Raw genomic sequence first — 12,549 nt, forward strand, 5'->3', positions numbered from 1 at the left:
ACTGGTAAGAGTTTTCTTAGGTGATCTCAAGGATCATTGTCCTCTCTAAATTCATAAAATTCTTTGAATTAGAGCCACTTCTTTCCTCTATCTAACCCTCTCTTTCCTTTCATCTTCTTATTTCAAAATTAGCCCTGAAAGAGACCATTTCTGGATGCACAAATGTGTACATATATACATAAATGTATGTGTATATATACAAGTATATAATTAGAAAACTTTTCCAGATTTTGTACATACAAAGTGCATTTTTTTTTGTTTTCAAGGCCTGGAAATGTTTGTGACTTTGCTTTTTAGATTCAGTAAGCATTGCTCAACATAACCACCTGATATTTTTTAAACTGCTTAGGATGGGGCTGATCAGTTTTCTGTTGTGGTTTCCTCTATAGCAATCATTTGATAAAATTCAACGGTTTACCCTAATTTTAATGATTTCAGTGTGTCACACCCTTCATAAATGGCCAAGAAACCCTGCTGTCCTCAATCATCAAGTTCAAGTATGTTACAGAGTCTTCAAAGTTCATTCTTAAAATTGATATGATAAATAGCAGCATACGAGTTGATGTTAATTATGACCCAGAATTCAAGCATCATGCCTTATCTTAAAAAAAAGCTCAACCAGAATTAGGGAGCATGATTGGGTAACACAAAGGAGAAGCATTACAGGAAAGCACATTATCATATATTAAATACAGAATACAGCTTTGGAAATTGTGGTGTCAATTCATCACATTGCCTTTTGAATTAATTGAGATGAACTATTGAGTCTACTATCCAGAATTTTAAAACCACAAGAGGAAAAAAGGACTTACAATACTAAGTAGAGGGGATTCATTCATTTGAAAATATTTATTGAATATCAATTATTAACATGTGCAGGCATCATGTTGGGAATTGCTTATATGACAGAGCACAAAATAGTCCCTTCCCTCCCAAAGCTTATTGTCTAGTCTATAAAACTGGTAGGAAATGTAAGTGTTGCATAAGTGATGAGAAGTTTTAAGATGGAGAATTACAGGTGAAATGGAACAAAAGGACAGAAGCTAGACTTTGGGTAGAGGAAAGGGGGATGTTGACATGGTAAGACCTTTCAGGAGGAAGTGACTTTTAAATTGAAAATTGAAAGTCATGCAGGCACCAGCAAGGCAGAGATGGTGGCAAAGGAATGGGCTATGTGTGAAAGTAATTAGATAGGAAAGACTATGGGATGCTCTTGAAATTGAAAGAAGTACAGTATTGCCTTGGAGTAAGGAGAAACAGGTGAGGCTGACTTGAATCAGGATGGGACCAGATATTTTGAGACCATGTTAAAGGAATTGGCGAGCCATGGAAGGAAAGTGACAAGATATTTGTGTACTAAAGTGATGATGACCATATTGCCTACTGTTAGGAAAAGATATGGGGAAAATGAGGAAAAGAGGGGAGCCCGTGTGTGTGTGTGTGTGTGTGTGTGTGTGTTTGTGTGTGATGAAAAATATATTGGATTGCTCTAAATCTGGGCAGTAAGGGAATGCTATCTGGCAGATTGTATTAACTGAAGAGACAGCAAATGGAAGTTTGGGATAATGATTTATCACATTATTATGCAATCTAACGAAGTCTTCCTTCTTGATGATCACACTCCTTAAGAGGTTGAAAACATTTGTACTGCAAAAAGAGTTTTAAGAGGGTAAAAGTTTCCTAGCTGTTCTGAAAAAAAGGTTTTAAGCCACGAATCCCAGACTTTTGGATATCAGGGATCAGGAGATCTCTTCCCTCCTTCACCCAGTAATAAACAAAAACAAAGTAATTCATATACAAATTTGGAATGCTATTTTAACACCAATGTTTAAGTCCATAATCTCGCAGTAAATGGTAAACCTTAGAATTCCTCTGAAAGGACAGTTAATGTCATTATTGTATATAGGATTTTTCTCATTTTTCTAGTTTGTCCACAAACTTACAACATTTTATCACATAAATAATGTTACAGATACTAAATTTTGTAGACCCAGCTCTAACTATAGCAGAGATGGGATGAAAATTGGTACAGCCTTCACCTGTGAACCAAGCACCCCCAAAGTCACTTAAAGAGCTTGAAATATGCCTGAATTCCACAGCTGAGCTGTTTAGGATAGACTAGAAGGAGGCTTAATCTCCCTATTCATGAAGAAGCCATATTATTAGTAGTTGCTTATTCATTAAAAGAGGGCAGATGTTTCTCAGCGAGTATTCCTTTGCGTGATGGCTGTTAGCTTTGGAAATATATCCCAGCAGAATGCCTTGATGACCACTCTCATGAGTCATTATGTTTTCATAAAAAGATGCTGAACGTGGCCTCAGAATAGGAACAGAAACTGAAAACCTCCTATTTTAAGACTTCCCTGACTTGTAATTTTTCTAAAGAACATACACATAAAATAAAATGGCTGTGTATATATTCATTTAGATTGAAACTATTCAGAAAATAATGATCAAGTGAACATTTCTGAAAACATGTTTGTTTCATATAGTAGGCACTGTATTTTTGTCTTTACAAATAGAAGTAAAGAGAAGTAATAGGTTATAAGAAAAGTTGATGAGTAATGATTCCCTTTTAACTTTATTCCTCGTTCATTCCTCTGGTGGAAGAGAGGTTTGGTAATAGGAAAATGTAATGCCATCTCTGCATAAAGCAGGTTTAAGAAGGTTTGTGAGTTTAATATTAACCTGGTGAAGAGTAAGACAAGCACATCTCTTACTAATATAGCAAGAAGAGTTTTTTTCAGAAGCTTAAACTCCTTGCTTCCTTCATCATTCGTTACATATTTTAAAACTGCATGAACACTGTTATTATTGGTTTAAGTTCTGCTTATGCAAAATGGTGAAGGAAACAAGCAAACACACACCATGGGCTTTGAAATCAGGAATACTTGAGTTTAGATCTGTGTTTTAACACTTTGTAAATTAACTTAGGCAATTTGATCATTTTAGGCCTCATTTGTACAATGTAGGTAATAACTTGCTGCAGTGCAATTAAAAATTAAATGAGAATAAATATGTTTTCCAGACCATTAATAAATGCTTGCTATTCTCCTCTCATGTTCATTCTCCCTGTTCTTGCAGCCAATCCTCCCTTTCTACCCAGGTTCCTTTGGATGTCCAGAATCTTCTTCCATCTACGTGATCCAGGCTGCTTTTTACAAGGAGACGTAAAAATATTAATGTTCTAATGATTTCTCACATTGAAGCTTGCCTTTTATTTTTTTTCTTTCTTTCTTTTTTTTTTTTTTTTTTTTTTTTTTGATGGAGTCTCGCTCTGTCGCCCAGGCTGGAGTGCAGTGGCATGATCTTGGCTCACTGCAATCTCCGCCTCCCAGGTTCACGCCATTCTCCTGCCTCAGCCTCCTGAGTAGCTGGGATTACAGGTACACACCACCACGCCCAGCTAATTTTTGTATTTTTAGTAGAGACGGGGTTTCACCATGTTGATCAAGCTAGTCTTGAACTCCCAATCTTGTGATTCGCCCGTCTCGGCCTCCCAAAGTGCTGGGATTACAGGCGTGAGCCACCACGCCCTGCCTTGCCTTTTCACTTCATTGTGGACTTGAACTGAGATTGTTAAAAAATGTTTATCAAAGTTTTGTTTGCAAAAGTGAAAAGGTTGAAAACAGTATAACACCTTAAAATAAGTGATTCTTTAATAAATTATTGTGTGTCCACACACTGTAAAATTATACAACCATTAAAAATATTTTATGGTCTTGGAGATGTTTCCAACATACTGTGAATAGAGAAAAACAGAGATGACAGAATAGTGTATAATCCTATCAAAATTATATCTACCAGCATAAATTTAAAAAAAAATTATAGACAACAAAACGCTAACCATTGTTATATTAGGGTGGTGGGATATATGATTTTTAAAATTATCTTTCTCTTGTGTAACTAGATACAATGGGTATGACTTCTATTCTATAGCACTAGATTAAGAAATGCCACATTTCTTTTGATAAGTCAAAGTTAAACTGCTCCTAACCCCCAACTGGCTAGGAAGTTTAATTTCAGGCATTATTGAAACTTCTTTCCCCTTCAATTTCTCCAAGCTGTGCAAGTGTCCTATGGATCTTGTAAAGCCTCAAACCTTTGAATAGAATCTTCTGGTTTAGTAATACGCTAGTTACTAATGGTAGATCCATGCTCAAGCCATATCATGCCTTGAAATTTAAGAAATATTCTCCTACCTCTGCACCAAGCTTGAGTCTTGGGAACTCCTGCAAATATAGTCCAATGTTACCATGGACACCATGCATTTTGTTATCCAAAATCTCTTCATTTCTCCTCAAATAGTTCTTCAAATTTTCATGTGGTAAAATTGTTTCCCAGTAAGAATAAACTGACTTTCCTAGTAAGGCATTATTTTATAAGGTAAGTGGCAATTTGAAGATTAAATATTTATAAATCTTATTAAATACATATTTAATATGTATTGCTATGTTATATTTATGCATTACTATGTATTATGTATTACTATACATTATGTATTCCTATTTATTACATATTGCTATGTAATATTATGCATTACCATGTATAAAGCACTAAATTCCTAATTCTAAATCAAGTATCTGTTTCATCAATCTTATACAAATTATCTTCTACCATGTGGCCAGGTAGCCATTCCTCAGAAGTCTTGCTACCTGCTGTTAATGTGAGGAATGAGGGTTGCTGATACCGAGTCTAAATACATGAATCGTCTGAATCCTTCCTACCTTGCCTGAGTGTTTTGCTTCTTCTCATAATTCTCCATAAGAATTTGGGCTATGCAAACATAATTGGGAAGGATGATGGTGGGAAGTTGGAAGGAGAGTGTAATAATCTCCATGTTTTGTACAGGGTGCTGCAGTAGTTGTACAAACTAAAAAGATTCCTTGACAATGGAACATAAAGTCATGATTTGGAATGGAGAAAGAAAAAAATACACATAGACACAAGAATGAAACACAAAATTGGTACATTCATTTTCAAAACGTTTAACAATGAGTTTGTTACCTTTCTAATATAAATTTTAAAAAATCTTATCAGGAAACAAAACAAAGTACGGGTAGATAAAAACTCCTAGCTTTTATTTTCCATTTCCTATTTGCTTGGAAGCTTTGACTTCTAATGCTCAATTAATTTATTTGTGAGTAGGCAATGGGAAATGGCTATAGAAAGAGATAAGTAAATTGAAGTCAAAGGCTTGGTTTGTCCTCCTCTGATGTTTAATTTTGGATGAATCACCTACCTTCTTAGAGCCAATGGTTTCCTATTTTTTAGAGTGGAATGGTAACACTGCAGGCTGTGGCCATGCTGCCAGGACCTGATCTCTATAACCCTAGCTTATCCCAGAAGTCACACACAGTTCCAGTATATGTCACCCATATACTAGGAGGACTTCCCTAAGCACTCACATCTGACTCTTTGAGGACTTAGAAGCAGAGGACACATTACAAAATTCTAAAGGTTTTCCTATCACAGGGCTTTAAACATCACTGTGAATAAATGATCAAATAAATGAATCATTTATTGGGTGAATGGGTAATATTTATTAAGCAAATATCATATCCAAAGAGCATACTGTGTGAGAGTTGGTAGAACATTCCAAAATAAATGATCATACAGAACCTAAACCTTGCTACCCATGTTTAATACAAATATCAGAGTGGCTATTAAGGAAAATGGAACTATTTAGAGAGCAAAGTGAAAGGGAGTTTGTCATTTTAGACTGTGATTTAGAGGAAAAGAATCATAAACTCTTTTTAATATCTTAGTGATAAATCACAATATTATCTGACATTACAGTGCTTTCTTTAACTGTAGCAAGTTATAAGCAAAAATGGATAGGCAACTGTTTAGGATATTCATCTTTTGTCTTAAATTCAGTTCTTGGACTATCTTACTGTTTTCTGGGATGTAAAAATATCTCAATAGGTGTATTAGTCAGGGTTTTCTAGGGAATCATAACCAATAGAATATATATATTCATAACCAATAGAATATATATATACACACACATACACATACACACATTCTATCATAACCAATAGAATATATATGTATATATATACACACACACATATAAGAGGAGATTTATTATGGGAATCAAGCAGCAAAGAGCTTTTGAAGCTGCTCAGTCATTGGTTTTATAAATATAAGTATAGGAATAGTGCTATTATCTTAGCCCTAGACAGCCAAATGTTCTATAAAAGTTCTCTACTGACATCTTTCAGAGTTCAGCTACATGGGAGGCACTGGAAATTCACTTAGCAGTAATTCTTCCTACTCAGGATTACCTCAAAGCAAAGGACACAGGCTCTGCCTTTCTCACTGTCGTCAGTACATTTAAATTCCAAGAGCACAAGTATTTTTAAAACCCTGCAAAGTGCCTGCCAGTCAGTTTCTGAGGTGAGTAATTGAGTTCGTGCCCATTCCTACAGAATTACTAAAACTAGACATGCATTTGCTTTACCAAATTTAGAGGACTCTTAGAGAGCAGAAAACGATGTGTGAAATTATTGCCACAAGTAGGTAAAATGAATTAGGACAACTCAGTTTTATCAAAAGGTCCTGAACATGGTTTGTCTGTAGCCAAAATTTTCTAATGTGTGTTGTCATATTTATTGTTGACAGTATGACTATTTGTAATTTGTGATAAAATCTGAGAGTATTCTGATTTAATTTTTACTTCTACATCATCTGCAAAAGGAAAGAGGTATTTTTAAAGTGTAGTAATATAAATCAATAGGTAGTATAGAGAAGTGGATGGTATGGGTAGGGTAGTGAAATGACCTGAATTGTAGGAATGTCTATCTGTTAGTGAAGGCTAGGATGATTTTAAGACTGAAAAGGAGATGCAGGAGTAAAGATTGTATGGTAGTATATGTAAGTAATAGTAAAGCAAGAGTACAAGTTAATATTTTGATAGTAAAATGGACAGGAAAATGCAGATATAAAAATGTGAAGATAGAAACCAGAAGATAAATAAAGGAGTTGGGTGGGTTGAAGGAAGAAAAGGGGCAAGACTCTGACAATTGCTGATGTGGAAGAGAATAGTAGAAGGTTCCTAGCCTGGGTGCTTAGGATAATGGAGGCTTTAATTATCTATTAGTAACTCCACTACCACTGCTCCCTAACAGTCAGAGATTTGGTTGACTTGGGACAAAGCTGAAAATATGGCCAAACAAAACTTGCTATGAGAGAGTGTGATACACTAGAAAAATTGTGGGCTTTGGAGTTGGACCGACTTGATTAAAATCCCAGCCTCACTACAAATTTTATATGCTTACTGAATATCGAGATTCTAAATAAAGAAAATAATGTCTCATTTCATGAATATAATGGTTAGTGATACAACAAATGTAGTACTAACACAAGTACCTGGCCCATTATAGGCTCTATATAAAGAGTAACAGTCAATCTTAGTAGTACTTTATTTGTTATAGTTTTCCTAATGTATTTATTTAAAAAGGAGGGAAAAGTTTAATTAAGCAGTAATAATTTGTTTAATGAGTTCAATTCAAAGTAAGAGAAAAGTATTGCTTCCGTTGTTTAGGTCAAAAGATCTTTGCAAATGTAGGTGTAACTACTAGTAGATATTTAGCTATAAAATATAGGTCTTATTGTTCACAGATACACTCTCCTGAAAAATGTAGTTTCATCATAACATCTGATTTTTAAATTCATGGTAAATACATTTTAATTAGGGTCCATTTCATCCTTACTTCTTGTTAGTTTTATATTGTCAGTAATTTATCAGTGTGTGTGTGGATTGGAGGGTATTAAAAAAATAAAATGTCTATTCTTTAGTAATGATGGAGATGGCAGTGGCAGGTAGAGTGCTATTTAGGTGTCAGGTTTAAGATATCTTTGACCCTGATATCATGGAAAACAAATTCAACAAACATCCATTGAGCTCCCAATGTGTTATAAACTTCAGGTGAAAAGAGGGTTTATTAACATGAGAAAGACTTGCCTTGTGCCCTGATGGAATATAAAATATTTTTTTTCTTGTATAGCCAAGTATAATACATGATCAGTGCTCTAATGAGCATTCTCATACAAGTAGAATAATGAATTCTGCTGGACAGGGAAAAGGGTAGGGAAATTTTCCAGACAAGATAGTACTTGAGCTAAGCCTTGCAGGTTGAGTAGGATTATTCTAGTGGAATTTAGGGAAACGATGTGCAAGGAGAATAGTCTCTTAGTTTGAATGAAAGGTAGAGGTCAATTAGTGGGATGCCAGAAAACTTGACAAGGTGAGAAAATCATTTTCTGTGACTTGCTATTTTACTAACCTGATTGATTTTGTTAATACCTAAAAAGAGAAATGATTCATGTTAATTATATTCACAGATACAAATAAGTAGCAAAAATATCAACTTATTATTTTACTATAAATACAGTTGGACCAGAAGACTCAAGCATAGCCTGTGGAATAGAAGGATACATTATTATAAGTAAATTAGTTGATTGGTAGCCATTTTCTGATTTTACCTGCAATCTGGATTAGATTCCCTATTCAACTCTCTCTTAGTACCCTATGCTGGCTAATCATCTTCATTTTCTATCCAGATTTAATTCTCATATACTACCTCATTACCCTGCTCAAGTTTATCAGAAACAAAGCAGTTTCATATAGTTAGAGCAGAAGATAGGTGAATTGGAAATAGTAAAAAAGATAACAGAAAACAACTCCACATAAAGAAAGAAAAATCATTCAAAAGAAGACATTTATGCAGCCAACAGACACATGAAAAAATGCTCATCATCACTGGTCATCAGAGAAATGCAAATCAAAACCACAATGAGATACCATCTCACACCAGTTAGAATGGCGATCATTAAAAAGTCAGGAAACAACAGATGCTGGAGAGGATGTGGAGAAATAGGAACATTTTTACAGTGTTGGTGGGAATGTAAACTAGTTCAACCATTGTGGAAGACAGTGTGGCAATTCCTCAAGGACCTAGAACTAGAAATACCATTTGATTCAGCCATCCCATTACTGGGTATATACCCAAAGGATTATAAATTGTGCTACTATAAAGGCACATGCACATGTATGTTTATTGTGGCACTATTCACAATAGCAAAAACTTGGAACCAACCCAAATGTCCATCAATGATAGACTGGATTAAGAAAATGTGACACATATACCCCACGGAATACTATGCAGCCATAAAAATGATGAGTTCATGTCCTTTGCAGGGACATGGATGAACCTGGAAACCATCATTCTGAACAAACTATCACAAGCACAGAAAACCAAACACCCCATGTTCTCACTCATAGGTGGTAATTGAACAATGAGAACACTTGGACACAGGGCGGGGAACATCACACACGGGGGCCTGTCGTGGGATGAGGGGCAGGGGGAGGGATAGCATCAGGAGAAATACCTAATGTAAATGACGAGTTAATGGGTGCAGTAAACCAGCATGGCACATGTATACCTATGTAACAAACCTGCACGTTGTGCACATGTACCCTAGAACTTAAAGTAAAATTAAAAAAAAGAAAGAAAGAAAAATCAATCATACAAACATCAGGGTTCCCCCTCCCAACCCCCTGGGGTTTTTGAGCCATGGCTTTTGACAAGTAGGTGTTCTTTGTTAGTTAATTTGGCCAGTTTTGGGGTTGTTCCTTTTGATTACTTATCTAGTTCTTAGCTTATTATTCTCTTTCTAAAATTTTAAAGATGTGGAAAATTACTAGCAAACTGCATGAAACTTATTAGCTGGAAATAGTGCAAATGGTAGAATTGGATTCAAAGAAGCTGCTATGATATTTCTCAGTTTCAGATGGGTCCCAGATGACTAATCTTTGTTGATGGACAAACCAAGTGGAGAGGGGTCTTCAGACATAATTGATCCTATAGACTGAAGCACGCTATGGAAGTCAGGGCCTATCTTACCTAAGGTGGAAGCAGAGGTTTTTGAAGTCAGTAGGTCAATGCTGAAAATATTTTTGGAGGAAATTGGGCAAAGTGAAGACGGCAAATCTGAACTTGTACTATCCACCTAGGGGTCTATGTGAACAGTGAGATCACAAGTAGTGAGCCAAAATAGATGAGATAAGGAGGCCATAGAACCACAAAATGGGTAAATGGGATTTGGTCTGCACTGATTCCAGAGAGGAAAAGACATACCTGCAGCAGCCTTTATTCATTATAAAGGTGGAGATAAATCAGCTTCATTTAGTAAGGCGGGAAAGAGACAAACTTCTCCCCGTATATATTAACCCTAACCATGACATATAATGACATTTTCTTTAAAAGCGTTTAAATAAATTTTTTATCTTTAATGCATGACACACTATTGGATATCATCTGGAAATATTGAGAGCTATAACTTTTTGTTATCAAAAAAGCACTAGAGCACTTTTTTTGTGCTCTATAAGCAAGCACTGTGAAGCTGCTTTTCCAGGGAGTCTTTTTTATCAGAGTCTTAGAACGAACATGCCCTGCAGTATAGATTCTTTCTTTCACCAGTTGTGTCTGGGGGAAAGAGATGAAAACTACCAGTGTGCTCTCTGCTCCTCTAATTAACATACACCTCCTTTCTAGAAATTCAGGGATTTCTTTGGAAAGAGAAATTTTTTTTTTTTTTTTTTTTTTTTTTTTTTTTTTTTTTTTTTTTTTTTTTTGAGACGGAGTCTCGCTCTGTGGCCCAGGCGGGAGTGCAATGGCGCAATCTTGGCTCACTGCAAGCTCTGCCTCCCGGGTTCACGCCATTCTCCTGCCTCAGCCTCCCAAGTAGCTGGGACTACAGGCGCCCGCCACCACACCCGGCTAATTTTTTGTATTTTTAGTAGAGACGGGGGTTTCACCGTGTTAGCCAGGATAGTCTCGATCTCCTGACCTCGTGATCCGCCCGCCTTGGCCTCCCAAAGTGCTGGGATTACAGGCGTGAGCCACCGTGCCCAGCCCGAAAAATGTTTATTATAAATCTATCCTTCCTAAAAAAGACATTACTGGCTTTTTTTTTTTTCAAAGAGAGATTTATAATATGCCAGGTTGAATTTAGGGGAAAAAAATAAAAACAAATAAGAGTTGAATGTTGGGCTACAGAAAGCAGATATTCCAGAAGATTTAGTGAAATTATATTCTTTGAAAATATTGTAAGAGAGTTAGGAGAGTGAGTTCAGTATTTAATTAAAGGCAAAAACAAGATCCTGTGTTTGAAAAACAAGATATACTAAATGAACATGTCAATCTTTAAAGACATGAATTGATTCTCATGGAATTTGGGTACATTTAAACAATGCACCTTCTTCATTACAGTGCTATAAGGTATTTGGATTTACACTGCAAATTTGGAATTCAACCTGATTTCATTTTCTTCCCTAAATCTCAACATATATATTACATTATTTGGTATGCCTTTAATCTTAAATTTACAAAGAAATTATTATCAACACAGGTGTTCTGAGTCTGGAGTGGAAATATTTAAACAGATTTGATTTTTAAAGTGGTCTGATACTCATTTTTTAAAAATGTACATTTTTATATTTGGGGTTTGTTATAAACTTTGCCTTTTTAAATAATGCAAAAATGCTCTAGGTTATTCACTGTCTTTTCAATTTTGTTCTCCTTTGGAAAAAAGGAGGAAGTAGTTACTACTTAAGGACAAGTAGCAATTTCAGACGCGCGCACGCACACACACACACACACACACACACATCACACACACAGAAATCCACAACAGCACTCATGGAATTTAGGACTGATTAATTTACATATTATTTAAGCATATTTTCTGACTTCAAACTCCTGGTTCTAATAACTAAGCATTTACATTTACAATATTAGCTTCTATGAGAAGAGAGCGTTCTCCCTCTTCCCCTTTAATTCCACCTTAAAACATCTGCAAAAGCGCAAGGAGACCAGCCCACATTTTAGCCCCTCCTACTCAGGATAAGACTTTCTCTAAGTCCGGAGCTGAAAAAGGATCCTGACTGAAAGCTAGAGGCATTGAGGAGCCTGAAGATTCTCAGGTAACTCTGGGAACTGTAAGCAATATATTTATTCTTCCTCTGCTCCACTTCTCTCTCCCACCCTCCTTAGCTTTTACTTGGTAGTTTACTTGGAAGGAAGAAAGGACGGAGGGGAAACCTCGCTGCTTTAAAAAGTCAGCATGTCCTCTGCCTTTTGAAGTGAAACACAGATTAGGGACCTCAATTTTCTTCAAACCCACGCAGATTTGCCTTCCTGGATCTAAATGCACTGTGGAGTCAAAGATTAAGGTGTTTCTTTGGGTTGGAATCCCAGAAAGTTAGCATTCAAAACGGCGGTGAGGTGGCGCTTATTAGCGTTCCACGTGATGACACCCAATGGTTACTGATCCCCAAACTTGAGCAGCAGCATGCTGTGCTGTTTGACAGCCCTAGCGATCTTTAGCGAGAGACTTTGTTGACTCACTTAACTTTTAATTTCTAAAAATTGGTCATTTTTGTTACTTATGGGACGCTTTCCTGGCTAGTCAATATTTTGCAGAATTATGCGAAAGAAAGAGGATTATTGAAAAATTAACTGTAAACGGACTGGTGTTCTG

General features: G+C 35.9%; 1 protein-coding gene across 4 annotated transcripts in view; it reads left to right on the plus strand.

The window, feature by feature from the left end:
- Positions 11,906 to 12,549, plus strand: part of PLA2G4A (phospholipase A2 group IVA) — a 160,033-nt gene continuing 159,389 nt past the window's right edge. For 3 of the 4 annotated variants that reach the window (NM_024420.3, NM_001311193.2, XM_047422599.1), the window contains exon 1: positions 11,906 to 11,992. The gene's annotated coding sequence lies outside the window, so the exon portion shown is untranslated. Of the gene's footprint in view, positions 12,008 to 12,549 lie in introns of all 4 variants that reach the window. The other variant, XM_011509642.3, reaches the window with a different exon arrangement.

This window comes from Homo sapiens, chromosome 1 (genome assembly GCF_000001405.40).
Source record: "Homo sapiens chromosome 1, GRCh38.p14 Primary Assembly".
Lineage (NCBI taxonomy): Eukaryota > Metazoa > Chordata > Mammalia > Primates > Hominidae > Homo > Homo sapiens.